We start from the raw sequence: 27,774 nt of genomic DNA, 5'->3' as shown, positions 1-27,774 counted from the left end.
GGCATGTCTGCTTGGAAAAGGAACAATTTAACTACCACAACGTAGGAAGTGCTCCTTTTGGATTCTGGGTAAACTAAATCAAAGACCAAGAAATTACAAAAAAAAAAAAAAAGTCTTTGTTAAATTACTCCCTTTCGCACACCTCATTCTTTTTATATGGCAAGCTCAATAAACAAGTGTAATATTTGTTTTCAAATTAAAAAAATAAAATTCATCTCAACCTTCAAAAGTCATTCAACCATGAATGGTCCCAATGTTGAGAAACACACACACAAATCCACACACATATGCAAACCTGTGCACATGCACACACATACTCCTCATTGGTAACAAAGTCAAGGCTTCTACTGCTGAGTATGGCTGTGTAGTGACAGTACTCATGTCACACTTCAACTGGATGACTTTCCAAAGGCAGTCATGTCCCTGTCAAGAAGTTCCTTTCTTCTACCTCGAAACAGATCCCAAACCTGTCTCATTCTCTGTCTAATGCCCCATCCTCAACCCTCACTCAAGCTACAAGAGTAGCTGCCTAGAACTTCCAGAAGGATCTCTTTACAAACAAATCTGATCTTGTCCTGCCCCTACTTAACCTTTTTTTTTTAAATACTTTAATTTCTAGGGTACATGTGCACAATGTGCAGGTTTGTTACATATGTATACATGTGCCATGTTGGTGTGCTGCACCCATTAACTCGTCATTTACATTAGGTATATCTCCTAATGCTATCCCTCCCCGCTCCTCCTACCCCACGACAGGCCCCGGTGTGTGATATTCCCCTTCCTATGTCCAAGTGTTCTCATTGTTCAATTCCCACCTATGAGTGAGAACATGCAGTGTTTGGTTTTTTGTCCTTATGGTAGTTTGCTGAGAATGATGGTTTGCAGCTTCATCCATGTCCCTACAAAGGACGTGAACTCATCCTTTTTTATGGCTGCATAGTATTCCATGGTGTATATGTGCCACATTTTCTTTATCCAGTCTATCATTGATGGACATTTGGGTTGGTTCCAAGCCTTTGCTATTGGCGAATAGTGCCGCAATAAACATACGTGTGCATGTGTCTTTTAATGGCACCCACTGCTTTTAAGCTAGGGACAGTAATTTTCTCTCCCGGTCAACAAGGATGGGGCAGGTACTCACTCCAGTCTCATTTCCCACTGTTTCTCATCAGTTCATTGGACCTACATGGATCTTCCAGTTCCTCAAAATTTCCTCAGCCATAACTACTCCCTCTTGGGGTCTTTTGGAAAAACGTCCTCATTGCTGGGCTGCTCTTCCCTTCTCCATTCACTGGCTCACTCCTGCTCACCCCTCTGCACAGATGCATCAGGAAAGCTTCCTGCCCTTCCCAGCACCACAGGTTTTCTTCAAAGTTCTTGCCATTTTGAAACTGTTTATTTACATTTTGATTGTCGGATCCGTGCTCGGAAGGCCACCAGGGTTGGTGTGAAGATCAAATCTGAGAATGGGGATAGATATCCTTCAAGAATTATAAACAGAATCCCAATATAAATCCCTGCTTTTTTCATTGCTGCTTCTAAAGGACTCCCAGCCCCCAAAAGAAAGTGAAAGCAGAAGCATCACTTACCCCAAACATCAAAAGGAAATGACATCCAAAGCAGGCATTTTTAAAATTTATGTTGGGCTAAGACGGTAGCCACCACAACTTGGTGAATAATTAGCCTTGAGGTCTCCTAGCATAAAATAAAAATCCACTTCCCTCAGGCCAGAGAAACCACTGACAACCACCAGCCTGAGTTTTGACAATTTCCCTGCCCATCACACACCTGGTTCCTAAGGTCCCAGTAGCCAAAGGGGAGTAAATATTAACTCTGGTAGGGAATGATTTGTCAGTCATGAACAGCTGTCCACAGTTTCCAAGGTACTGACCTGAAAAGGAGATGAAAGGAACAAAGACTGGGGTAGCTTCCACACTGGGCAGGACATCTTGCCCTTGCCTCTTGGTCTGCTATCTAGCCAGTGATGCTGATTTCTATACCTACACATTCAGGTTCCTTTACCCTTTGGTTTTAGCCAAGAAGGGGCACCAGCAGGAGATCACAAAAGGGAGGTGAGTGAGGTCAGAAGTATTGTTTTCCCAGCTTCCTCCATGCTGGGTCACCCCAGGCTAGCTGTGTCCTTAACCAAAGGCCACAGCTCCTATCAAGTATACCTCCAACAGAGCTTGCTTGTGCCCTCTTTTTAGCTCCGCATCCCCAGCAAACCTACACATTCTGAAACTGATCCTCCTTCTTCAAGCCTAGTGTGATCATGGTTCATCTGCGATATTACTATCCCTGTGATGCTGCAGCAATCTTTGTGGTTTCCCTACACCCAGCTCACAACCTGGAGGTAGAGAGACATCATTTCAATAAGCACACACATGCGCAAGAGTGCAGTTTTAGGAGATGAGTTTTAGGAGGTAAGGAATGTGTTTCTACGCATGCCTGCATTTCTGTGATCTGGGGTGGCTGCAGGATCTAATAGGCAAGGCTTCTCGGAAAAAAACCTATACTTGATCTGACTTCAGAACAAGGCCAAGTTTAGGTGGGGCATGCATAGGAGGCTAGTGGAGGGAACAGGAAAAATCCCAAGCAGAGAGAACAACCTATGGAAAGGCCCTGTCCACTCTTACACAAAGGTTCTCACCTGTCTATTAAAGCTATTATGGGGAACACACAGCCATTTTAAATGTCTACACAAATATAAGATGTTAATGACAGTCATAATTCTGTTCATAAAAATCCTCAAGCTTTGATTTTACTTCTCCAACACATAAAAGTTTCTTGTAGGCCAGATCTCGTCCACAGTGCCCACCACAATGGCTAATTAATATACAGCTGAAGTCCAATAAACACAAGCAAATAATTGATTGATTCACTGAGGAACCAAAGGATGGAAAAAATCCAGCAGAGGCCTAGCACTGCCTATCAGTGGAGGCAAGTGCATGAAATGTGGATGAGTTGACTTCAGGCTAAGTATGGGGCTGACCTTGGGCAAGTTACACTTACCTCTACATAATGTTTGTTCAGGTCTCAGGCTCCAAGATAGGAGATAAGCGAGAGTTATTTTGGTCTTTTGAATGCTTAGGAAAACAGCTGAGCTACACGTAAGTGACCTCCATTCCTAGGGCAATATGTTAAGTTCAGTCTCAGTGTGAGGTTTCCAGCTCCCCACAAATTAAAAACACAGCATCAGAGAAGAGTAGAGGTTTCCTTATAACCCAGAGATACCATTGTGGAAAGCCCCTGTTGCCGGAAAAATGATGACTTTCCTCATAAAGGGGAAGTGCTATTTTAGATTCAGCCACTTTGGTTTTTCTTTCCACCCTGGGGTATAAGTTTGATTCCTGGGTATCTTCCTATACCTCAAGGAGTTATAAAGAACCCAAGAAAAAGCCAAGTTAAGTCCACCTTCACTTAGGTGGAAGGATTTCATTGTTCCAGAAAGAAAAGATGGTCAGAGGGACATTTCCATTTCTGTAATTAACCTCAGTGTGGCCTTAGGGAGCCACCTTCCTTCTCTGGGGCCCAATTTTCTCATGAGTAAAATGAATGGCTTCCACTAAATGATCTATCTATGAGATCTTCAGATTTTATGATTTTTGAACACCATTTTTTTTGTTATGGTTTCAGCAACTATGTCTTGAAAGTCTACATGTTCTCAACATTATGTTATTTCTTGGGAGGGAACAGTCCATCCCTGCACCCAAGGATTCTTATTTTGTGATTATGGTCCTCCTAAGAGGGTCTATGAATCTCCAGATGTTGCATATAACACTTTGTGTCTCTGTGTATATTTCCTGGCCTAAAAGCATCCATAGCGTTTGGGTCCACAAATGGATCCTATATGCTTTTAGTAGAACAGGTGACTGCTTAGATGTCAGGGAATGTGTTCATAAGACACCAGCATCAAGAGCAAGCCCAACATGAATCCACCTGCCAAGCTCTATGACAACCTGGGTTATCTTCCGGAACAGGATGGCTCTGGATTTGAGATGAGATCAGAGAGGTGGACTGCTAAAGAGAAAGAGAGTTTGGGAAGTCAATGCAAAAGTATAATTGTGGGCAAAATATGCTGTGTTCTCAAGAAAAGAAAAAAAAAATCTCTAATTGCTGTGGGAATGAGCTCTCTCCATGGCGCACCTGGAGGTTCATGCACTTTCTGTTTTCTACCTGTCCTCCATTAACATCAGCCCCCAGAGTACTGGGTTCAAGGAAAGAGCAGGACTCTGTTTTGCAGCTGGGAGGTGGCGCAAGAGAGAGCTACCATTTTCGCCAAGAGAATTCTAAGAGATCCTGAACCTGCATCTGTGACTCAGCCTGGATGGGGCCACCTCTCACCAGGCTACACCAGGGGTAGGGACAGGGTAGTGGCTTGGTGCTTTTCATCATGGTTAACAGAGAATAAGTCATGACAGCTAGCAGTATCATATTGCTCTGCGATTAATGCAAAATACATGACATTCATTGATTTTAAGGTAAATTTAAAACATGTAATGACAGAGTGAAAGCTATGCCATACACAGTTACACATGCATGGGAGAAAAACATGTATAAATTGAAGCTTAGGAGTTATAACTTACACAGAAAGTGCTATTATTCAAAAATTTAAACATATGTGAGACAACATATAGCAAATATGCTGACATATGGCATTGAAACCAATACGTCAACACTTACAAGTAAGAAAACATCTATAAAAATACAATAAGAACAGTTCTCTCTTTACATTGAGGCCACAAATGAGACCACTGCTGAACATCTCTGGTTAAGCATTAACACACACCAGGATCTGCCTGTAACCTGTTCGTTAAGGTGCAGTGCCCCAGCTAATTAATACATCACTGGCAGATCAAGTTCAGAGAACAATATTGAGCAAGTGCATTCCTGAGGCCTCATTTACCCCCCTTCAGGTAGGCGGAAGTCCAGAAGGGAAAAGGGGATAAGGGAGAAGAGAGAGAGACAAAATAAAGTAGAGATTATTATTTTGCTACAGTAGAGCATCCCACAGTTGATAAAAGTGGTGTGTGTATGTGTGTGTATGCATGTGTGTGCGCGTGTGTGTGTAGCAGGCTTGCATGTGCTGGCCAAGTTCTGAAATCATGTCACTTGAGAAAAAGCTGAAGGAATAGGAGCTGTTTAGACAGGGAAACCCTACATTGAAAGAAGGCTATCATAACAGTATTCTGCCATGTGCAGGGATTGCTGCTGACTGTGGGCATAGACAATGCTGTATTGCCTGTCACTTCCACTCCCTGGGCCTCAGACTATTCATCTGTAATGTGAGAGACTTGTATGAGATGCCTGATTCTCAACTCATGCTGCAGTTGGAATCACATAAAGAGCTTTTAACAAATACAGATTGTGGGGCTCCACCCCAGATAAGCATCTCTTTAGGAGGGAAACAGGCATTGGTATTTTAATAGTTCCCCAGGTCATTCTTACGTGCATTCAGTGAGGATGGACAAGCACTGGTCTAGATTACCACTAGATAATTCTAGATTATCCTGGAGGTCTCTCCTAGCGCAATAGGCAGGAACCGTTCTAGCTCTAAAACTTTACTTAATTCAGTCATATATATAATTCTTTTCCCATTTCCTCTGTGACTCTGGAAGGAATCATAATCCTAAGGGAAATTCAATACATAAAATATTGATGTTCATTTTGCAAATACCCGATAAATAAATTCACTGAGCTGACTGAAAATGAAAAATCTGTGGAAAGAGAACTCCATTATAGAAGATCTACTTGAGTCTTAATTCGGGATCAGTTTGCTCCAACATTCAGCACATTTTTCACCAGCTTGATTATGTCGTATCCCATCCACAGCAGATTAGAAGCACAAATTGGAAGGTTAGTTTGGTGAAAGAGCTGGTTATGTTTATTAACAGTGGAAAAGGAGAAGAACTAGCATCTTCACAGTGAGAAAGAAAACTCAAATGATATAAAAAGACAGCACAGGAACCAATGTAAAATCATAGTCTAGGGATGTTTAGTGTAGGGCCAAACTGCTCTACCCATTTTTAAAGACTGACAATATCTCTGTGTTACTCTCTAACAATTAGAGAGAGAAGAGCTTATGTTGACTGAGTTCTATTTAACAAGGCAAGGCCACATGTGTATGTATGTATGCTTTTGTATCTGTATGGTGATTTTCTAAGCAATGATTTTAAATGTTCAAAATTTGAGGGTTAGCATAAAACATTGTATGTATAAAATACATAAAATACACGTATTCTTGTCAGGCTTTTAAAAATACACCTGTTATCTGTAGCCTTTTCCACCTTAAAAACATTCTTCAGGTTTTCATCAGATAATAATCACCCTGGATGTAACCAGTAGATGAGTTTAGAAACCCCAGAATCAATAGGTGGGCAGAATGAGACACAGTTTCCCCTGCTACTCTTAGTCAGTAAACCTGATCTAAAACCGCTCAATCACTCCCACTCTACTTCTAATAACAGCTATAGCTACCGAAGGAGACTCAGGCTATGAGGAAGAAGACTTGGTGTTCGATGTGCCAAGTAGCAATGAGTGAATTATAAACTGGTCAGGGTTCCTGACACTATGAGGATCTAAAAGGAACCTGAGACCGAACAACTAAGAGACCACCCATGCTATTTCAGGGCTCATCACCATCACTGTGGCATTTTAATAAGTCATGGTATTTCAAGAAAAAGAGAAAGAGAGGAGTGGGAAAATATCCATGGAACTGGTAGACCATTGACTATGGCAAGCAGTGACCTTATTCACAATAACATCCCCTCATAAGACACTGCTATTTTATACTAGATTTATTGCACTTAGGTAGAAGCAGCACTTTATCAACTTACTTTTCTGGAGCACAGGAATCATATTTTTCTTGAAACTAGAGGGGAGGGCCTCTGCCACATTTTCAAATCTGGGTAAGCCTTGATCCTCCACCGCATCTGAGCCTCGTCTATAATATTAGGTAGAATGTCTTGCATCCATGAATGTTTCCTGCTTGATAACCCAAGGAAGAATTATCACATACAAATCTCAGATCCTAAGACACATTTTGCCACCAATAGTCATCCCTAAACAAAATGAATCACGATCCCAAGTCACATCCCTACCCAATACCATTTATTGAAGAGCCTGCAGTGGTATGTGAAGGTAGGAGGTCCAGCAAATCTTCCTGTTGTTTATTTGAGTGACTTTAGACAATGAGGTGATATGTTAGGGACAGCACTGGGTAAGAACGACACCAAGAGGGCTGGGGTCATTGCAACCCTTTGTGACTTCCCAGCAGGTTACTTTCCTCATCCAAACTTCAAAATCCTCTTCTATAAAATGAGAGATGTGCTGGGCAATGTCTAAAACTCCTTCTGTCAGCCCTGGGAGCCTCTGAATTACGATCTCATTGCCTCCAGTAATCTCCCAAGTTTTGTACACGACCATATCTTCCTGGAAGTCCCCTCTGCTCTTTCCGACTCCAGTACCTCAGCCTGAGCATGAGAAGAGCAAGCTTCTAGTCCCAGTTCCACCTCTTGGTGGTGGGGTGCAGCATTTATCTCTAGGACAACTAAATAAAATGATCTCTTAGTGCATCAAAAATTCAGTCCTAAAAGTCATTTCTGTTTAAGAATACAGCTGTATCCATCACAGACAGTGAATTTTACAAAATGCCGTACAATGGCTGCAATCTTAGCTATTTTAGAAGAGCTAAAAGGGTTACAGTTGTGTCCCAAGGGAAAGGTGCTGCTGGTGTCCCCATTCCCCCTCTTATTTAGCCCTCCCCTGTTCATACTCTGCAGGCTGTTATTATCTTTACATTTACCTGCCAACCAACCTCCAAAAAATCTGTTCAGTCACAGTAGTTACAGAAACCAAAGAAGCGGCCAATAGTCCAACTCTGACTAACCCCTTGTTAATGGCTAAGAATTAAAGAACAATTTCTTTTTGCAATTAACATATTCTGTACTGTAAGTATATCATGAACTAAAAATAACATGTCCTCCACAATCCTTTGGCCCACAAGAAGCTCAACAGAGGGAGGGGAAGAGAGAGAAAGAGAGACTGGAATGACATGCCATGAATCCTAAACATCTTCCTAATTGGATAATTAAAAGAGTTCTGGATAGCAGTTCAAAAAGCCTGGATTCTGGTAAGGGCTCCCCTACATATTTATCCATCTGTGTGGCCTTGGCTTGATCTTGTACCCTATCTAGGCTGTTTATAGGATTATGTTTGAAACCTAGTAGGCACCCCTTAAAAAGTTATCCAATCTATTGTTCTTTTCAAACTGTCTCATGCATAAGAACCACCTGGAGAGCTTAATAGAACACACAGGGGGTCCCCACCACCCAAGTCTCTAATTCAGTATGTCTGGGGTGGGGTCCAAGTATAGGCGTTTCTAACAAGTTCCCAGGTAATGCTGCTGCTTCTGGTCCTGAGACCACACTTTGAGAAGCACTGATCTGGCCCAGTGATGTCAACCAGGGCTGGAAATTAGAATTCCCCTGAGGAGGGGCACTGGCAATATGCCGGTGCTCAGTGTGCACCAGGCCTTTTCAATCAGAATCTCTGGTTGTGTGGCCCCAGCATCTCTATTATTAACAAACTCCCCAGATAATCTTAATGTGCAGCAAAGGTTTAGAACACTGATTCCACCCAGCTGCCTCATTTTATAGATAAAAAAACTGAGGTTCAGCAGACCAATGACGGCTCATTCAGCACATGCATCTGCAAAAGGGGAGGTTTGGACACAATAATTTGGAGACCCTAGATTTTAATTCTACGGCTGTCACACTCTATAGCTGCATTTCTGCTTTTTCTCTTATCCCATGATTCCCAAATAATAATAGTCAGGGAGACTTTCTTCATCTGGCCACTCCATGTAACCAGAAGGAGAATCCAACAGGACCACTCGTAGTTGGAAGGCTCTTGCATTCTCAAAGCTCTCCTCCGGGTAGTTTCTAAATATAACAAGCAGTCAGACACTCTGAATAACTCTCGGCTGACTTGGCTTCCCTGGGATAAACTTTTTTTTTTTTCTCCTAGATTATGCTATACCAGGAATAGAGCCCTAAGGGGAGAAATTCCTCTTCAAAGTCAGAGCTAGATAACACTGTGTGTGGTATTCAGGTTGTTCTCCTTTGGAAAGAGAAAAAAAGGTGGGAGGCAAACTTCTAAAACCAGCCAACATCAAAAAGCATATTCCTACTTTGTCTGTGTGGTGTGCATGGAGGGGAGGCAGAGGAGAGGTGGAAGTGGCCGGGCAAAAGACAATTAACACATCCTGCTCAGCAGGGGGAGGAACGTGGGCATCCGGTCCAGGTACTCCAGGCGGTGGTGGGCAACAGGAAAAGTACACATGCCAGCTCTGGCAACTACCCTATGCTGGCTCTACCACCAAAGACCCGGAACCAAAGTTGGGTGCACAGTTTGCTCCCTGAATGGTGGGCTCAGGCACGGCTCTGACTTCATTTCTCAGGCAGGCAACAGACACGTTTACCTTACGCTCTGGCTCCTGCTGTTCCTTGCAGCAAGGGGGAATTCGATGGGACCTAAAAATCATCTGGAACATACACAGACATGGATATCTTCTCTCTCACATAAACACAAAGACCTTTCCCCATATTTCCGTGCAGGCCAAGCCTCTGTATTTTCCAGCATGACACTGTATTTGCGTATTGTAGTGGATGGGACATTGGGGATCTCCTAGTCCTGTACTCCCCCTTTGCTGATGGTAACAATTTTAAATGCTGCTATTTATTAAACATCTATTATATTATATATCAGGTACTTTATACAAATTAAATCTAATCCTCACCCAAAGCCCAAAAGCAGAATTGTTAGATCACAGAAAATGGAGCAGAGGCAGACAGAAATGAAATGATGAGCCCGAAACTGCACAGCCAACTGTGTCAGAACCAGGACTGAAGTGCATGGTTCTGGCTCCAGATGGATGCCTTCCCCACAGTTGAGTAGGAGGTCATGAAGAAGAAGAGATGATACCTGCCTTACCCCTCCCCAAGAAGTTAGGGCAATTAAGCGGCCGCCTCAGCTGACATCACTCTGTGCTTTTCAAGACTTGAGCCAAAATTCTATTTAGAAATTCTAAATGTCCAGGGAGGCGTTTGTAAGCGCTCTCTCACTCTTGCTCTCTCTCGCTCTCTCTCTCTCTCTCTCTCGCCCCCACAGGAAAATACAGCCTTTTGGTTTCAACCTTAGACAGGGAGAAGCCCAGCTGCTATTAAAACTGAGCAGGAAATTGCATGGATGACCAGACAGCGATTCTTCTTCTCCATGGAAATTTCTCCTAAATGCTGAAAATTCAGGGAAAGTGAGTGGTTTGGGACACGTCTAGAAACCCTGAATGTGTCCCCCACCACTGAGAGATGCAAGTCTCCTCAGAGGCTGATGTGAGGCCCACAAAGCAATGCACTGATTTGTCTGTTTTATCTGTGTGGGTGTGCATGTATATATGTGTGTGTATGTGTTTTGTGTTGGAGTAAGAAACATTACAGTAAGAGAATTTTCCTGCAAAAAGTCCTTCTCCCATCTTCTTTCTCTACCACTAGGACGGTTTTCCGAAATGCAGTGCTTTTGACATTTGGGACTGAATCATTGTTTTTCGTGGGAGCTGACCTGTGCATTTGAGGGTGTTTAGTGGCATCCCTGGCCTCTACCCACTAGATACAAGAGCGCCTCCGATCCAACTGTGACATTAAAAATGTCTCCAGACTTTACCAAATATCTCCTGGAATTGAGGGCAGGACAAAATCCTGCCTTCAGCGCACCTCTTATGCAAAGTAGCTCTAGTCCATTGTCAACTTAACTGTCCTTGAACTTCTCTAAACTCCAGGCAGGCAGACTCCTCACCAGCTCAGCCTGTGTATTCCCAGGGTCTACAATAGTATTGGGAACAGCAGGTATTCAATTAGCATTTCTGAAAAAAGCATATTTTTAATAATTTTTTTAAATAGACAACTGCTCTCATAGTTTATCTAGGTTTTGTGTTCGTTCAGGGTGGACTCTTTTAAGGAATGTACATTTTTATCTCCCCAAAGTTTAGGCTTCTCTAAAGCAAGAAGGTTGGCCAAGCAATTCCTGAGCCCCTAGGACAGTGCTTCTCAACTTGGGCCACACAACTCTTAAAAATCCCAACATCCAGGCAGCACCTCCCAGACCAAATAAACAGAATCTCTGGGGGTCAGACCAAGGCATTTTGGTCTTCAAAAAGTTCCCCATGCATTTCTGTCATGCAGCCAATACTGAGATCCCATGCCTTACAGGCCTGTGAAGGAATCCTGGGAATATACTTGAAAAAGCACAGTGAAGTTTTACATTTTCTGGGGATAAGGCTGCCCATGTTAACTAAAGGAGTAAGGTTCTCAGTTTGTGAGGGTTTGCAGCACCTCAGTGTGACGGCACTTGCTATCATGGCTCAGAAGGTCTGGCTGGTTTTAACTCATGAGAAAATTAATGTATGATTATCTAATAAATACCTTCTGCTCAGGCAACAAAATCTTTGTAAACGAGAGTCCATGTGGTGCTAATACTTTGGAAGCAGTATCTTAGAGTTGCCTTTTATCTTTCAAGGTACCCAGCAGAGAAAAAAAACTGAATAGTACTTCTTGACGAACAGTTTGATTTGGTTGAGATTTTTTTTTTAATTGTTGTTGTGTTATTTTTTAAGTTGGGCCAAAAGTACCCAAATTCTCCTTTCTGGAGCAAAAGTAATCACAAGAAAAACTGACAGGGGGGCATGTGGCTATTTTTTTCCACATAAAACACAGCCTGTTCTTCCTGCAGGGATCACAGAACTGTAATCTGTGCAGCAGCTACCAGGATTCAAAGGAGAAGTGAGAAAAATCTTATGATGGGTGGGGATTTGGTTTAAAGAATAGATCTGGGTAAATGACATCATTCCTGGGTTTGTCCAGTGAATTGGATCACACAGCTTGTCACACAATGACTTCTGACTCTCCCGGGGCCAGCAAAGCAGCCCCGGGCAGGCCTTATCAGGAGGAATCAGTGTGGAAAAGTACTTTCTGAAATAAAACTAACATAAACCAGGCATGTCATGGTTGGTTTTGCTAAATTTCAGGAATGTGGGAGGAGTGAGTTTACTATGCACACAGGTTGGGACAGACTCCGTTTACTAAAAGCACAATATCCATCCTACTCCCTTCTCCGTTCATAGATAAGGACAGAAAAATCATCAGAAAATAAAATCTTTTACTGTTTGTTTTTTAAGAAGAGAAGCAGAGTAAAACAGGAGCGAGAGCGCAGGGAGGTGATGGACTGCTACCCAAATAGGAATATAAATTTCAACAGTATTTAAGTTAAATGGACACAGCCTGGAAATAAATTCTGCTGAGTGATCTTCCACATACTGCTCGGATGATCACTTAGATCCTGTCTTATTTTTTTCTATATTCTTCAATAAACTGAAAGAAGTCAGATTCAAGAGGGCATGTTTGTACTTGCTGAAACACAGAGCAAGGAAACGTTATTTCAATAAATCAATTTTATGCAGCTTTAAAGTTTAGAACCTTAGAGATGTTGAGCTGGAAAGTATACCAACAACCATTTTGTCTTTCATTTTACAGAGGGAAAAGTTGAGGACTGGGGAAGTTAAATGATTAATCTCAGGTCACAAAGCTATTTTGGTAAAGGATCAAATCTCATGTTTTCTTCTGCATGATCCTTTTCTCCTCTTATCCACTGTCACTAAAACGAGTCAAAAAGTCCATTAGATCTAAAAGAAATAAGACACTTTAAATCATGTTTTAAAACAGGAGGAAGCCGGGTGCGGTGGCTCACACTTGTAATCCCCACACTTTGGGAGGTCAAGGCGGGTGAATTACTTGAGCCCAGGGATTCAAGACCACCCTGGACAACATGTTAAAACCCTGTTTCTATAAAAAATCAGAAAATTAGCCAGGAGGAGTGGTGTGCGCCTGTAGTCCCGGCTAAGCTACTCATGAGGCTGAGATGGGAGGATCACCTGAGCCCAGGAGATCGAGGCTGCAGTAAGCAATGATCACGCCAGTTCACTCTAGCCTGGGTGACAGAGTGAGATCCTGTCTCCAAAAAAAAAAAAAAAAAAAAAAAATTAAAAAGGAAAAAAAAAAATCAGTTTCTCTGAGTGGGGAGTTGTTCTTACATTTAAATGATCACTTTCATGACTGATAGTTTTACTAATTAAAACAGTACTAAAACAGTACTCCATGCTTGCCTTTCCATAAACAATTCTGCTCCCTTCTTAGGAGTGTTTGTAACAGAATAAACAACACCATAAGTGAGTGGAAATACTGCAAAGATAAGGTCTTGAGCCTGCACAGACTATTATATGAGCAAGGCCAGGCTTCCAAGCACCTGTTCTCTTCACTCTGCTAATGGCCTCAGCCATCTAAAGTTAACACAATGAGAACCTTCCACAGGGTCCCCATCAAGATAAAATACAGAGACATAGCTTAGGAGGTTGTGCATAAATAAAAGATTCAACAGGGAACAAGCCAGCTGCTGTCGGGTGACATATTAATTTGCAAATGTATCAGAAGTGATATCCTGTCTCCTGAAGTCATTGGACAAGCCCCCCAAAATATACCTTCCCTCTCTACCCCTGCCTCCTGCTGCTGGAGGAGTTCAGGAAGCAGTTCAGAAAGGAGGCAGCCTTCCCTCCTATCTGCCCAAGAGAAGTGGCACCATTTCTTACGACCATCAGGAATGGCTTTTCCCAGGAGCCAGCGGAAACTAAGATTCTACACTCTGAGGATGAACTTCTTTCAATCACTTGAGAAATTTTTCCACCTAACATCTGGGACATTACCTTCCGGTGCCACATTTTATCTTTGATCTCTAAAGCATAGCTCTGCTCCTATTGTGAAGAAAAAAAAAAAACTCCAATAAACTAATGTATACAAGTCCAAATAAGTAAAACTAAACAAATCAGAAGGTCTTTATTTATGTTTCATGAAGTCTTTTGTTTCTTATTTCCTTTTTTTCCTTAGAGAACAATTTTCTTTTTTTTTTTTTTTTTTTTGAGACGGACTCTCGCTCTGTCGCCCAGGCCGGACTGCGGACTGCAGTGGCGCAATCTCGGCTCACTGCAAGCTCCGCTTCCCGGGTTCACGCCATTCTCCTGCCTCAGCCTCCCCAGTAGCTGGGACTACAGGCGCCCGCCACCGCGCCCGGCTAATTTTTTGTATTTTTAGTAGAGACGGGGCTTCACCTTGTTAGCCAGGATGGTCTCGATCTCCTGACCTCATGATCCACCCGCCTCGGCCTCCCAAAGTGCTGGGATTACAGGCGTGAGCCACCGCGCCCGGCCAACAATTTTCTTTTAAATGACCAACTACTACAGTACTGGGATTTTGTTTTTAATTGACTTCCCCAAGAAACTCCATGTCTGTGTATTTTTTTCAGTAATTCATCTATCTCATAAAATGAAGAGCGCCTGCTCCCATTTACCACAATAGTTCATTCAGTTTTGTATTTAGTTAGGGTTCCTGGAGCCTGCCTCAGTTCCATCTTCAACTTAGCAGCATTTTTTTCTGAGAAGGAAAGCAGTTCCTGTTTGTGAAGACTCTGAAAGTACTTCAGGCTGACAGATGCTATATAAATGAAATATCCTTTCAATTACTGCTACTGTATGATATTGAATTAAGCTATATCACCATAAACAAGGAAAGAAGCCTGCCTACACACCAGCACCCTTTCTCATCCTAGTTCCACTCATGCTCAGTTCCTCATAAATAAAATTATTCCTAAAGAGAGAAATCTAAATTACCTTTGAAAGCACTATTGTCCCTTCTATGTTACTACACACCATCCGAATAAAACTGACAGGGCATCAAAGTCTATAAATGGATTCCCAGGTAACTGCTCAAAATGTTCTCCCTTCTTGATACCCAAAGCATCTTTCGTCTCCTCTTCAAATAGACAGCAAATTTGAGAGAAAGATCAGAAACTGAAAGCTACTGACAGCCTGATAGGAGCAACCTCAGCACGACAGCTGATGGAGACGATCACATTTCCCCCGACAAACTCAATTGCTTTAGTAAATCAAGTGAAAGTCAATACAACCCCTCCCTCCTTAGGTCCCGTGTGGCTCTCTAAACCCAGGCCACTAAAACTTGTTCTTGGAGGAGGAGAGAAAAAAGCAAGATCCAAATATTCAGGCAATGTTTAACTAATACCCAAAAATGTTTCTTTCTGTCGGGGCAGTTTCTCTTTGCCCAAAGGAGCTGCTGATGTCTTAGAGAGAGCTTCAAATGCATTCTCCCCTCCCCATAGTCCTACATGGAATCTTTCCCTTCCCTGTTACCCTTGATCTTTACCAAGAAGGCATATTTATCCAAAAGTACAACTTCCAAGTTCCATATAACATATCTGCATCTTTTCTTTGGCCAGTGACTTCTGCTTATGACTATAGAACAGTACACAGTAGTTCCATAATTAGGTGGCATAGAAAAGATGTAATTCTTGGGGAAAAAATCAAGGACCTCTCAAATCACATATTTGCATTTCTGTGTGTGCTAGAGCTTAGGACTAAATCTGGGCTGTTGTCAATATTAAACCAAAAAGCCTGGGGTGTGTGTGTCTTCTTTATGCAAATCAATAAGCATGTACACAGGAAAAAATCTAGGATGTCAACGCTGTAGCTTTCAAAAACTTTAGAAAAAGTATCAACCACAAATAACTAAAACATTGCATTTCCAAGGGAAAAAGGAGATTCTCTGTCATAGACAGGAAGTTGACTTAGAGGCCAGCAATAAAAGGTGGGAGAAAGGGACATATCTCTGCTAGTTTCATCAATGGCCTTTCTGAAAAATCAATACTGAGATTGATAGAAATGAACTAGAGGAAGAAGCACCCCATGAAACAGAGAAGGTCATATGTAAAAACAGAGGGGAACAGCAGGAAACTCTTGGGTGATGGAGTGAGAAAAATAAAAGAGTCAAATTAGAGCTTACTTGCATAAGATAATGCTTTGATTTATGGTGGGGGGGTTAATAAAATGTACTTATAAGGCAATGATACCATCCTTTCAGGTCTGAGCAGGTCCCATAGGCAAAATCGCAAAGTGGCAACATATAAGAGAGAAGCTAGTGTTTTTACAAAATCATCCTTGGCCCTAACCTGAAACGCCATGTGCTGTTGAGCATGTTGTGTCTCAATCAAGAGATAACGAAGGGGAAGAACCAAAGGTAAAATCAGCAAGGAGATGGAACAATGGTCTTAAAATGACAGATTAATAACACTTGTTCTCTAATGGGGAGATGAGGGCTGACAAGTCTAGGGACTGGAAAATCAATAAACATACTCCTCTTCACCAGCACTCAGACATTTGTATCCAGAGAAAGCTTCCTTAATGCTCAAAAGAGAAAACATAGAGCAAATGAAAGCAAATTTGCTTCACAGAAGAATAAAAAAAGAAAAACAATACAATTAAGAGGTAATCTAGGTGACATCCACTACCTCATCCCTCCAAAAGTTCTAATAACCGAGAGATTCATGATGGGTAATTGAGAGAAAGTAGGCCATCTAGAAAACACCTGCAATGCAACTTCTGGGGCTGAACTTAGAGGGAACAGCCATGTCCCCTGGCAACTTCACATGCTCAACAGTTTCACCCATAAAACCCTTTCAGCCTCTGTCAGAGAGAAAATCTCTGCAGTTTGACCAAGAATCTAACTGGCCTGTCACCTGTCACTGTTTATATTCTCTCCTGATTGTGTGTACATGATGTGTATTTATTTGTTAAAATTCAAGTATCATCAATAAAAAATATTGAAAATGCTCCTAAAATTGGCTTCCTTTAAAAATGAATTAAACAAATATGGGATGATTGATTCCCAATATACAAAGTACATCGATTATAAATTCTGTTGTCACAAGCTGAATGGTGTGAGCCTCAGGGAGTTCCTCATTTCCCTTAAGAAATGCATTCAGTTTCACATAAATGTCTCACAATCACTCCAGATTTTATCAGTAATTATCAGGAACTCCCATGTATAAATACATATACATTTTGGCAGCATCATATCAGTGAAAGGAACAATAAACTAAGAGTTGAGAGACTGAACTCTGGCCCTAGTTCAGTCCTTCATTGACTACGTACTCTTGAGCAGTTGTTAAATTTCTCATAAGATGTTTATTTCGGTCAACATGCACTAACCTCCTACTATGTGCAAAGCACTGTTCTGGGTGTTTGGTATACAACGTAGAGCAAGAAAAATAAGTCTATTGGAGCTTAACTTCCAGCAGGAAAGACAGACCATGATAATGTAAACAAATCAATAATATTCACAATTCAGATGACAATAAATCCTATGAAGGAAATAAAACAGGTCAATGTGATAGAAAAAGACATGGCCTGGGGACCTTAACTGCAAGAATCTGCAAAGGCCCTCTGAGGAAGTGACATGTGATCCAAACCTAAGTGACAAGAAGGGGTAGGTCATGTGAAGGCAGAGAACAGATCATAGCAAGTGCAGACCCCTTGGGGAGGCACTGGGCCAGGCTTGTCTAAAGAACAGAAAGGCAAGAATAGCCAGAGGAAGTAAAAAAAGAAAAAAAATCCTTTGTCCAACCTTGCTAAAGAATGTTATAAGAATGAATGAAAAAAGATGGGGACATCCTTAAAAGTAATGTAAAGCAGTCCACAAAGTAAAATGAATTAATAGAACCTGCTTATTTTACATGAAAGAACTCCTATTTTCTGCATTGTATCTTTAGGAAAGTCCACAATTAGAATATCTTTCATCCATATATCTCAAAACATAATTTTTAGTGCAAGAGAGAATTGTCTAACCCCTTCATCTTCCAGATCGGAAGACAAAGGCACTGACTTACCCAAGTCCCTGTCAGTGACCTTCCAGGACCCAGCCTATCAGGCAAGGGTGGCCTTCTACATTAACTGCTTGGAAGCAAGGCTTCCCACTTCTTTTCTTGAGATGACTTATTTCACTACAAGAAATTTGCAATATAGGCATAATGAACCATTTGCCCAAGGCTTAATATAAAGAATTAGTGCCATTAGCACCATGGAGATAAGAATTTGAAGTCTCAACATCCAGGCCTGACTCTAGACTCACCTCTTACAGGTTTTTCAATCTTGGACAAGTCAAGTTAACTCTCCAGGCCTCATGTTCTGCATTTAAAATTTAAGGATAATAAAAACACCTTCCATCCCTATATTATAGGATTGCTGAAAGAATCAAATATGCTGATATACACAAAAGTCTGTGGAAACTGTAAAGCACAAAACAAATATCATTACCCTTGTCATTTGTTTTTGTGCATAGGCTCTGTTTAGGTCATTGACTCTGCACTACTGCCAGCATTCTACCATGTTGCACAATTACCATTACCTTGGATAAGGCTTGGGGTATCTTTCTATTTTGTGAGTTAAAGAAATTGCATCTAAGGAGCTCCACGGACACTTGATGATTTATGAAATCTGCCTCATGAATATACTTCTCATTGATTTCCTTCCTTTTCTTCTGATTTCCTGCAGTGGAAGAAGCAACCCCAGATTATAATGGAAATACCTCCTGGATAAAGATCCATGAGAAAGATTCTGCTAAAAACAAGCTGTGGCACTTTGAGCAAGTCTCTAACCATTCCACTACCACAGTATGTTTTCAATCCCAAAATGTGCAGGGCACTTCTTATCTGTCCCCCAAAACATGCAAAATATCTCATAAATGTTGATATCCTTGAGTTCATGGAGCAATTTCAAATCCATTATTTTATTTGATCCCTTTAGTAACTTTGGGAAAAGTGAGAACAGGGATAAGAAAGGCAAATTTATATGGGAGAAAATAAACCTTTTGGGGTTATGTGCCTAGTCCAAATTCCCAGAAATCTAGATATTCAGACTTCAGTTCAGTGATCCTTGACGTTTACTAAGCCTCTTCCAGTGAGGATCTAGTGATGATAAATATACACACCTACTACGTACCCCCAAAAATTAATTTTTAAGAAAATGGGGTCATGGATATAAATACTATTAGGGCTTCCCAGTGGTAAGATATAATTATCACAAGGACAAGATCACCCTGGCATGCTGTCTTCCTCTGCCCGTTTCTATTCCCTGACCAGTTAGTGGTGTATGCCCACCGCGAATACAAGCTGGGGGAAGTTCCAGACTGACCTAGACATATTTGCAACCCCCAGGATTCCTGGAAAAGCAGACAATGGGCTTCTATCAATCCCTGTGGGTTGACTGAGTTTAGCCTGAAAGATTATCTAGTTCTCTCCATTGGAACCATCCCAGGTTTTTTAAGAGAGAAGCCCCCCTCTGGAGTCCCAACAGGGGGAAAAACAACACACCCCACCTAGATGATTTCCATACAGCCAGGAAACTTTCCTTGCTGGAGCACTCTTGACAGGGCTTTCTTCATCTTTCCTCCTGGCTTTTCTTTCCTTCCTCTATGAGGTAAATAAATACTTTAAGAAGAAAGTTGTGAGCTCTTTTGTTCTTTCTAATCTACATATTAGAATCAAAAGTCTATATTTTTCCCCAAAACCAGTCATGTTGGCTACGTAGCAAAAAATACATTTCTTTTTGGAAAAAAAAAAAAGAGTTTATTTTACATGTTGTAAATACCAGGAAATCCTTATCAGGGTGTGAAAGTTCAGATCTTGTTTTTCCTTTCATTCCCTTTCTCTCTCCTTAACGTGGAGAAAGAAGAAAACATATCTACAAATCTCTCTTTATAGTGGAATCCCTTCTTTCTACCCATGTCCTGCTGGAAGCAGTGTGCCTCTTAAGTGGCTTCTGATGTTCTGGTTGAGGTCGTTCTGCATTCCTAACAGCTACTTCATTTTCCCTAATCCCCAGACCAGAAGGGAATAATGCAATACCCAAGATAAGTAGGCTTGGTTTTCTGACATCCTTCTAGCAAAGGACATTTTATAACAAACTCAAAACGTTAAGGGTTGCAAATAGTGAGAGTTGTGTTTGATTTAAACAGTATTACAGTCCCTTAAGTCATAGAATCACAAAAACCAGTGATTAACAGGCTTTCTCTGGCCTGACTTCTTCATTTTACACTTCAAGTAACAGGGTATCAAGAAACTGCAGCTTGGCTCCATTTGCTCAGCTTCTCAAGGGCAGACATGGGAAGAGAACCCAGGTTCCTAGTTCAGTTTTTTGCATTGTGGTACCATCCTCTCTAACACATGGGTTCAAAATCTGGGAAACTTTAATGGAAAAATTCTTTCAAGAGGGGAATCTATGAGGGATTACACATTTCTTCATTCATTCATTCCTCAAACATTGATTAGGCATTTTTTATGCCTGGAACTGTGTTAGGCAATAGGGATACATAAATGAAAATGATGTGGACCTCTCCCTGAGATATAGAGAGAGACAGAGGTGGGGGTGGGGGGGAGAGGGAGAGAGAGAGAGAGACAGAGACAGAGAGAGAGAGAGAGAGAGAGAGCGGTGCAAAGAAGCACAACAGCTCTATTCTGTTGCTTTGGTGATAAGAGGTTACATTAAAAAATATCATGGTGGGAGTTATGCCAATCAGAATACCATGTGTGAAATCTTCCCTGTCTCTAAGAATTTTAGTTAAGTGGGCATATCCTTGCATAGCCACCCTCAATGCTCTATAATCCATTCTCTGCACAGGAGCCAGAACAATCATCTCAAGAAGCAACTAAGGTCATTTCATTCCCTCGCTTAAATTCTTCAATGATTTTCCATTGTTCATGGGAAAAATTCCAGAGTTCCTCAGAGGGTTGGGAAGACCCCTACCTAACATGCACTCCTTCATACCCTGTACCCTGTTCCTACCTGCCTCGCCAGCCCAGCAGCCTGCCCACTTGCCTTGCTTGACCCAGGCCTGACATATTGGTCCTTGTCAGTTTCCCCAAAGCACTGGATTTACCCTTGCCTTAGGGTCATTTGAATAAGCTGTTCCCCTTCTCTGGAACTCTTTCCCCCGCCAGCCAGATTTCTCATCACTCTGTTCTAACTCCTGTTCACCTAGCTGACTCGTCATCATTCTTCAGCTCTGAGCTTGGACACCACATCTTTAGGGAGCTCCATGACCCCCAATACCAAGTGACAGCCCCTCTGGGTGCTGCCACAGTATGCTGGTCCCTCTGCCTTACATTCAACAGCTTTATTATATTGCCTTGTTAAGGTCTCTATTCCTCAGTAGACCATAACTATGAGGGCAACTATTATTTTGGCTTTGTTCCCTGTAAGGCTGGGGTCTAGTACAGAGCTTGGCAATCAGCCAGTTTTCCAAAAACATTTGTTGATTGACTGGATAAACGAATATATGAAGGTGTGTCCATGGGCATCTCAAATGGGGAATGCCACAAAACCATGACTTGGATGAAAAAGTTCCAGCGTGAACTTGATCTGTCAGTTTTGGAACTCAAGAACAAATGAGCATGTCCTAAAGTAAGGAAAAGCTGACCCCTTCAATGGAAACAAATATTTACGATTTATTATCCTAAAAAGTGGCTAAGGTCCATTAAAATCTTAGGTACCCAAGGGATGAAAGAGATACAGAAATGATAGCTCCAAAATGAGAAGTGTGTTATTCAGAGGGGCAGGATCAGGAAGAGGAGTCAGGGCTCAGGGCTCCTCAAAGCCCAGCTGTATGTTTCCTTCATTTGTAAAATATTAGGAAAAGGCAGGGGAAGAGAGGCTGATTTCTGGAACCTTGGGGATTTGGGGCACAATACAGTCTCCTACAACACATGCCTCCTTGCAAGAGTTGGAGGAGCAGGGCTTGTCTGTTTTTTGTCTCCGAACACCCAGATGACTGCACAGTTGGGTACAGGTCGTGCTGGGAGCAGGCAAGCTGTGAGTTCCCACTCCCAAACAAGGAGGGAACTCTCTTAAGTAGTCCCAAAGTGTTGGCGGGAAAGTGCAGAGTGTGTGTGAGTGTGCACATGCGTGTGTGTGTGCATGCGTGTGTGCGTGCGTGTGTGTGTGCGTGCGTGTGTGTGTGTGTGTGTTCGGGGCTGCAATTTAAACTTTATTAGACTATTAAGACAAGGGAAGAAAACACAACCGCAGAGGAACAGAAGGCAGCAGGCAGGAGGGAAATGTGACTTCTGAGGTTGATGCAGCAGAGCAGAGGGGTAAGAAGCTAGAAAAGGAAGACAATTAAGGAGCCTCCCCTTACAGAGGGTGGATCAGCTCACACATAGACTCCAAGCGTGTCAGAGTTTTCTCAAGGCCTCCCTTTGCACAAAGTCTTCGACAGTTAGCCAGAGGCAGCCTAGGTAAGCCACCTTTCTCTCTCCCTCTCCTCTCTTTTTCCCTCTCGCTCTCCCTTTCTCTCTTCCTCATCCTCTCCTGCCAACTGTTTGTCCCCAGTGTAACCACGGACAGGCCATTATTGTTATAAAAGAAAAAGAAACTGCAAGACTCACCCTAGCCACAAAAGGAACCTCATACATGCTGAAGCAGTTTATATATGTTGACATCTGTACTGCATGACATGTGTTTCTTGCACTCCTAAAACCTCTACTCCTGGTTTGGAGAGAGTACTATGCTCTATCAGAGGCGAGTATTCTCTTGCTCTAAGCAATTTTGTGAAGGCTCAATGCATGGTCCTCAGCCTTCCAATACCCGCACCAAGTGCAAGGCTCTGAAGATGATGATGCAGTGTATATGAGAAGAAAACAGAAGCATCACACATACCCTGCCTCTCTGACAAGGCTGTGATTTTCTCCCGGTGGATATCTGGAAACCCAGCCTCCTCTAACCTGTCTAGTGACTCTCTGAAGTCACAAAAGCAACATTGTCCAGTCCTGTCTTAAGGAAGATTAAACTGCATTTAACAACCCAGGAAAGGTAATGATCTCACTACAAAATCAACACACGGCGGTGGCCAGAGGCTGCTCCAACCATTGCTCAGTGACCACCCAACACCTCAGGGTTTAACCAGCCATTTATCCTTCTCCTTCCACCCGGCTGCTCAGCTCGCAGCTCGAAGGCTCTGACCCAGTGACACCACCCCACACTGCGCAGGATTAAATGCTCTGGGGCTGAGTAAATAGACCTTGGCAGGCAGTTTCCTGCAGGGGCTTCAGGGGAGAGATCCCTGGTCTGCCCCAGCCCTTGGGTTACAATGACAAGTTCCATAATTCTCCACTCCATGGAAGCCTTCCGCAGGCTCCTCACTCCTCCTCTGAGCTAGGCTGAAAGAGACAGGAACAGATGCAAAAAAGGAAGGGGCCAAACACTAAGTAGAATCTTTGAAGAGTACTAGAAAAGAGTCACTTAGTGGAAAACTATAGTGCCTTACCACTGAATTGGCCAACTTAAGAAAATTACATTTTGACCCCAGAAAAGGTAGAACAGAGGCTTTTTGTTTGTTTGTGTTCTTAGTAAAAACCATAATGAGATCAAGAAAATCAGATGATAAAAATCAACAATATGTAGGATTTGGTACTTGACAGTTCTTTAGGAAAATGTTATGCAAGTGACATCAAAGCCTCACTGATAAAGCTTTTGATGAACTTCTTAACCCTAAGTCCAAGTTTACAAAATACCCCGAATAAAACTCAGAGAAAAAATGGTGAGTGATTAGGTGACCCCCCTCTAGCTCCAGGTTTTTGAGAATAGGCCCCCCTAGGCTGAGAATAAGAGGGGGATGGGAAGGAGGGACTGTTCTCTACTCCAGAGGATCTTACGTTTTTGACTCTCAGACGAACAGGACCAGCAAGTGGGTTTCATACAAGGCCAGCTCAGTATCAATGCCTCCAGACTTGAGCCAAATGAAACAACTCAAGTCTTGGCACTGGCTCTTTCAGGGAGAAGAGAGGGAGGGGGCCCAGGCAGATAAAGACGCTTTAGAGAACACGCCAGCCCATCCCACAGCCCATCCACACACACAAGAAGCTTGATTTTCATGCCCCAGGGAATCTGTCAGTGAAATTCCAGAAATTTGCTTAGAGATTGTAAATAGAACAGTCGGGTTCAGAAATGGGAAGGCGGCTCCCCGTCTCTGCTTTTGCACAGAAAGTACTAATCAGTGCCATTCTGATCCAATAGACAAATAAAGTGCTTGAGAAATCAGACTTTTATCATTGGCCCCAAAATGGGCCTATTTCAGCTTGTCAGAAGTTGTGTGAAAGTCAGATTTTGAATTTGGATTTCCTCTTTTGGCCTGTTTTTATCAGACTACAGAGGCAGTGCCAAATATGAACTGATACGGAGCCCAGAGCAACATGCATCCCTGCTTTCCTCCTTGACGGGTGTCCAGGAACCTCCTGTGTCCTCAGTTTGCCTGCATAGAAGCCTGGGGAAAGGGTGGTGATGTCTGCTCTGAAGGGGTGAGCAGAACAGCCAGAGATATACAGGTGCAACTCTATCCACCAGATGAGGGGATGGCAGCCCCAGGACATACGCGGAATGGTGCCGGGCCAGGAACCAGTCAGGTCCACACAGGAGCATGCATAACTGTGACATTCAAAATGACAGCCACAATCTAACAGTTAATGCTGATGGAGAGATTACTAAGTGCTAGGGGTTGACTCTGAGTTTCAGAGAAAGACTGAGTTGAGTGTATAACCCAGTTCTGCCACTTAGAATGGTGAGATAGTGGCCAAGTAATTTAACTTTTATTTTTTTGAGATGGAGTTATGCTATGTTGACCAGGCTGGATTCAAATTCCTGGGTTCAAGGGATCCTCCTGCCTCAGCCTCCCGAGTAGCTGGGACCACAGGTGTACACCACCATGTCCAGCTAATTTTTTAATTTTTTGTAGACACGGGGGTCTCACTATGTTGTGCAGGTTGGTCTCAACCTTCTGGCTTCAAGGGATCCTCCTGTCTTGGCCTCCCAAAATGCTGGGATTACAGGCATGAGCCACCACACCTGGCCTACCTTATTTTATTGCCCACATTTTGGCCTCTAAAGCATCTCTGCCTTCCTCATCTGAGTTAATCCTCTCCACCTCCTGGGAGGTAGCCTAAGGGAAAACTCTTCTCCCTATTCTCCCAGTGTGGAAACTGAGTCACCCAGCGACAAAGTAGGAGCAGAATGCCCAGGACAAGACCTCAAGCCCTGCTGATCCTACACGAAGTATTAACCTCTATTAACTGATCAGCATCAGAGATGGGCATCTGTGAACACATGTGTGCTCCATAGGAACACCTAAGCCCTAAATTTCCTAGGATATTATCTCCCTGGGGCATTATTATTTAAGGTGTTTTATATTTCTTTACTATTTTTTTGTGGCTAAAAGATTAAAAGGCAAGACTTCTTTAGGCATAAAGGATAAGCCCAAATGGCACAGCTCAAGTGATGAATACAGGGAATTAGAGGGAAAGAGGAAAGCTTCTTAACACACACTTTCCAATTGCCCTGGAGCCCAGGAGCTTAAATATTTACCATGAAATTTCCTGTCCCTGTGCTTTTGGGGAGTTTTTAACTTGCTAGATGGAGTCTTATCCAGACAGTTCCACCTCACGGTGTCACTAAATGAAATGAGAGGAGATTCTGTCTGGTTTTGAAATCATATTTTCTTTGGCCTTTTAGAAAAAAAACAATCTAGCCTGGGTTTAAATCGGCATCCATATGGGCTGTGCTATGGAGCGAAAAGAGGGCTCTATAGCCTGATGTCAATCAGGAACAGTAAAATATGAGCCCTAGGGGTTGGGTGCGCGGTGGAGCCCTGGAAGAAGGTGGGGGGAAGAAAATACCAGGGGAGAAAGTATCCTAAAGAAAAGTGCTTCTTGCTTGACATTCAGGCCTCAACTGCCTGTCCACAGTACCTTCATGATGGGTACCTTTTCATAATACCCTCCCTCTCACCTGCCAGGGCAGCTACACACAGATAGCCACACCTCCGGACTTCATAGGAGATGAGAGAGAAATACAAGTCAATTACAACTACGTTAAAACGGCTCTGTCCATTGAACATTGAAGGGCAATTAAGGGATAGAGACAGGATAGGGCCATTCAGAAAAGAAAACATGATCCCATTTGGACAGTTTATGTAGAGATCAAAGTGCAAAGAAAGTGGCTTGAGCAGGGATCTGCTTCTCTGGACCACAAATCCATCATGTATCTATGATCTATGCAGGCAATGAGTGAGACGGCCCTTAAGGTCTCTTCCAGCTCAGGTAGTCTTTAATCTCGTTATTCTAAATCCAGTCTCTATGACTCACTGTTTTTTAGTGTTGGACAACGAAAAAAAAAAAAAAATGGTGCTCTCTACACTTGGAAATTCCTAAACTGACCTAAACATGAAAAGTACGCTCCATCCTAATCACCTGAATTGAGTGAAGGAATTAAGAGGTAAAACAAAAAACTATAGAAAAAAAACAAATTAGAAAGTAAGGAGACAAAATTATATTTTATTCATTTCTTGAAAACAACACTATGGAGGAAGTGATGGTAGGGAAAAAGAAAAAGAAAAAAAAGTAGCCAGAACTGAAGTACTGAATTCTTACAGGAACTCAGTGAGAAAGAGAAAAGATTCTAGACTTCATAAACCTTATGTTACTTCCCTGGAAACCTTCCTGCCTTCCCAGGCTATGTTACTGTAGCATCTTCTACATCCTGCTAACTGCAGGTATCACATAGAAATATCCATGTTGACTGAGTTAACTGTCTCTCCCAGAAGATGGTGAACACCTTGAGGACAAGGAGAACATCTTATTCAACTTTGTCAGTGTAGGACCTTGCCCAGAGCCTCTATAAAGTAACTGACCAAAAAATATTTTGAATCAATGAGCCATGAAACTATACCCCCAATAGCAATTTAAAGAAAAAAGGATCCAGGACACAGGCTAAAGGTTTTGATTTCTGGTGAGACCTTTAGTAGCAATGCAAGGTGCATTGATTTGAAGGTATCAGCATTTTCATAGTTTTCATCAGCATTTTCAAGAAAGTTAAAAAAAAATTCTAAATTTACCTCTAGGAACCTTTCCATTAGCCTAGCTCCAAAGCATTATATCAAATTTGAAGTGCTCTGACTAAGGAAAAAGAAAAAGGAAAAAAAAAAAACACCAAGTAAAAGCATAGAATCTCAGGAATCTATTGCTAAACTCCTAGAGACCTGTAACTCACTCAAATTGAGAGGGTACAGTCATTTGTCTCAATGAGGGTCGACAGTATATGCTCTGGGATCAGGTGACCCAGGTTCAAATCCTGGCTAGGACCCTTCCAGACTGTATAACTATTTTCGGGCTGAGGTTGAAGAATATTTTCCAGAGTGTCTGTAGAAGAGTTAGATTAGATTACTCACAAGTGACCTCCAACTCTGAGTTTTCATAATCCCATGTGCTCGCACCCTATCCACAAATCATCTACTGCCAGGTCACATTCTACATGACAACTCTTGCCAGTCTCCTCTACACGTCCTACTTGTGATCACCACCTATAGCAGTGATCCATCAGAGGATGCTCATGCTAGGAGGGATAAAGATCCAAGATGGGTCATCAGCATGTCTTTGCATTTATTTTATAAGATGCATATATCTAAGCCTCCTACACCCACACACCCCCACACTCACACCCACACACACACACACCCACACACACATACACACTCAAACACATATACTCTCTCCTGAAGGGTACTTCCAAGGATCAAGGTCAGAAATGTATGTTTCAATAAAGTTCCTCAGATGGAACAATTTTCTATGGCTTCGCCCCTCACTCTGACTGAGACTCTCCTGACTGTGCCAGGATCCATGCGTACATCAAAAGAGGCAGTAAAACCTGTCCTAATTTTAAGATTAAAATCTTCAAAGTCACAGGGTCAGCTCATAGTAAACCAAACAAATTTCTAGGAGGAATTG

General features: G+C 42.3%; 1 protein-coding gene across 19 annotated transcripts in view, besides 1 other annotated feature; it reads right to left on the bottom strand.

The window, feature by feature from the left end:
- SETBP1 (SET binding protein 1) overlaps positions 1-27,774 on the bottom strand; it is a 388,438-nt gene that overhangs the window by 266,630 nt on the left and 94,034 nt on the right. For 2 of the 19 annotated variants that reach the window (XM_047437479.1, XM_024451157.2), the window contains exon 3: positions 1,590-27,774. This exon is cut by the window's right edge. The exons of 15 other annotated variants lie outside the window; for them this stretch is intronic. In XM_047437479.1, the coding sequence (XP_047293435.1) occupies positions 1,590-1,598 (9 nt within the window). In that variant the 5' untranslated portion in view covers positions 1,599-27,774. The remainder of the gene's footprint in view (positions 1-1,589) is intronic. 2 more of the 19 variants (XM_047437480.1, XM_047437481.1) reach the window with 2 other exon arrangements.
- Positions 20,969-21,171: a silencer, noted in NCBI's record as "fragment chr18:42360675-42360877 (GRCh37/hg19 assembly coordinates)". NCBI's record gives its function as "represses an EF-1alpha promoter that drives an FKBP-Casp9 reporter gene in an ReSE screen in HepG2 liver carcinoma cells {active_cell/tissue: HepG2}" and the evidence as "EXISTENCE:reporter gene assay evidence [ECO:0000049][PMID:32094911]".

This window comes from Homo sapiens, chromosome 18, assembly GCF_000001405.40.
Source record: "Homo sapiens chromosome 18, GRCh38.p14 Primary Assembly".
In the NCBI taxonomy this organism is placed as follows: domain Eukaryota; kingdom Metazoa; phylum Chordata; class Mammalia; order Primates; family Hominidae; genus Homo; species Homo sapiens.
This window is presented reverse-complemented; position numbering and strand designations above follow the sequence as displayed.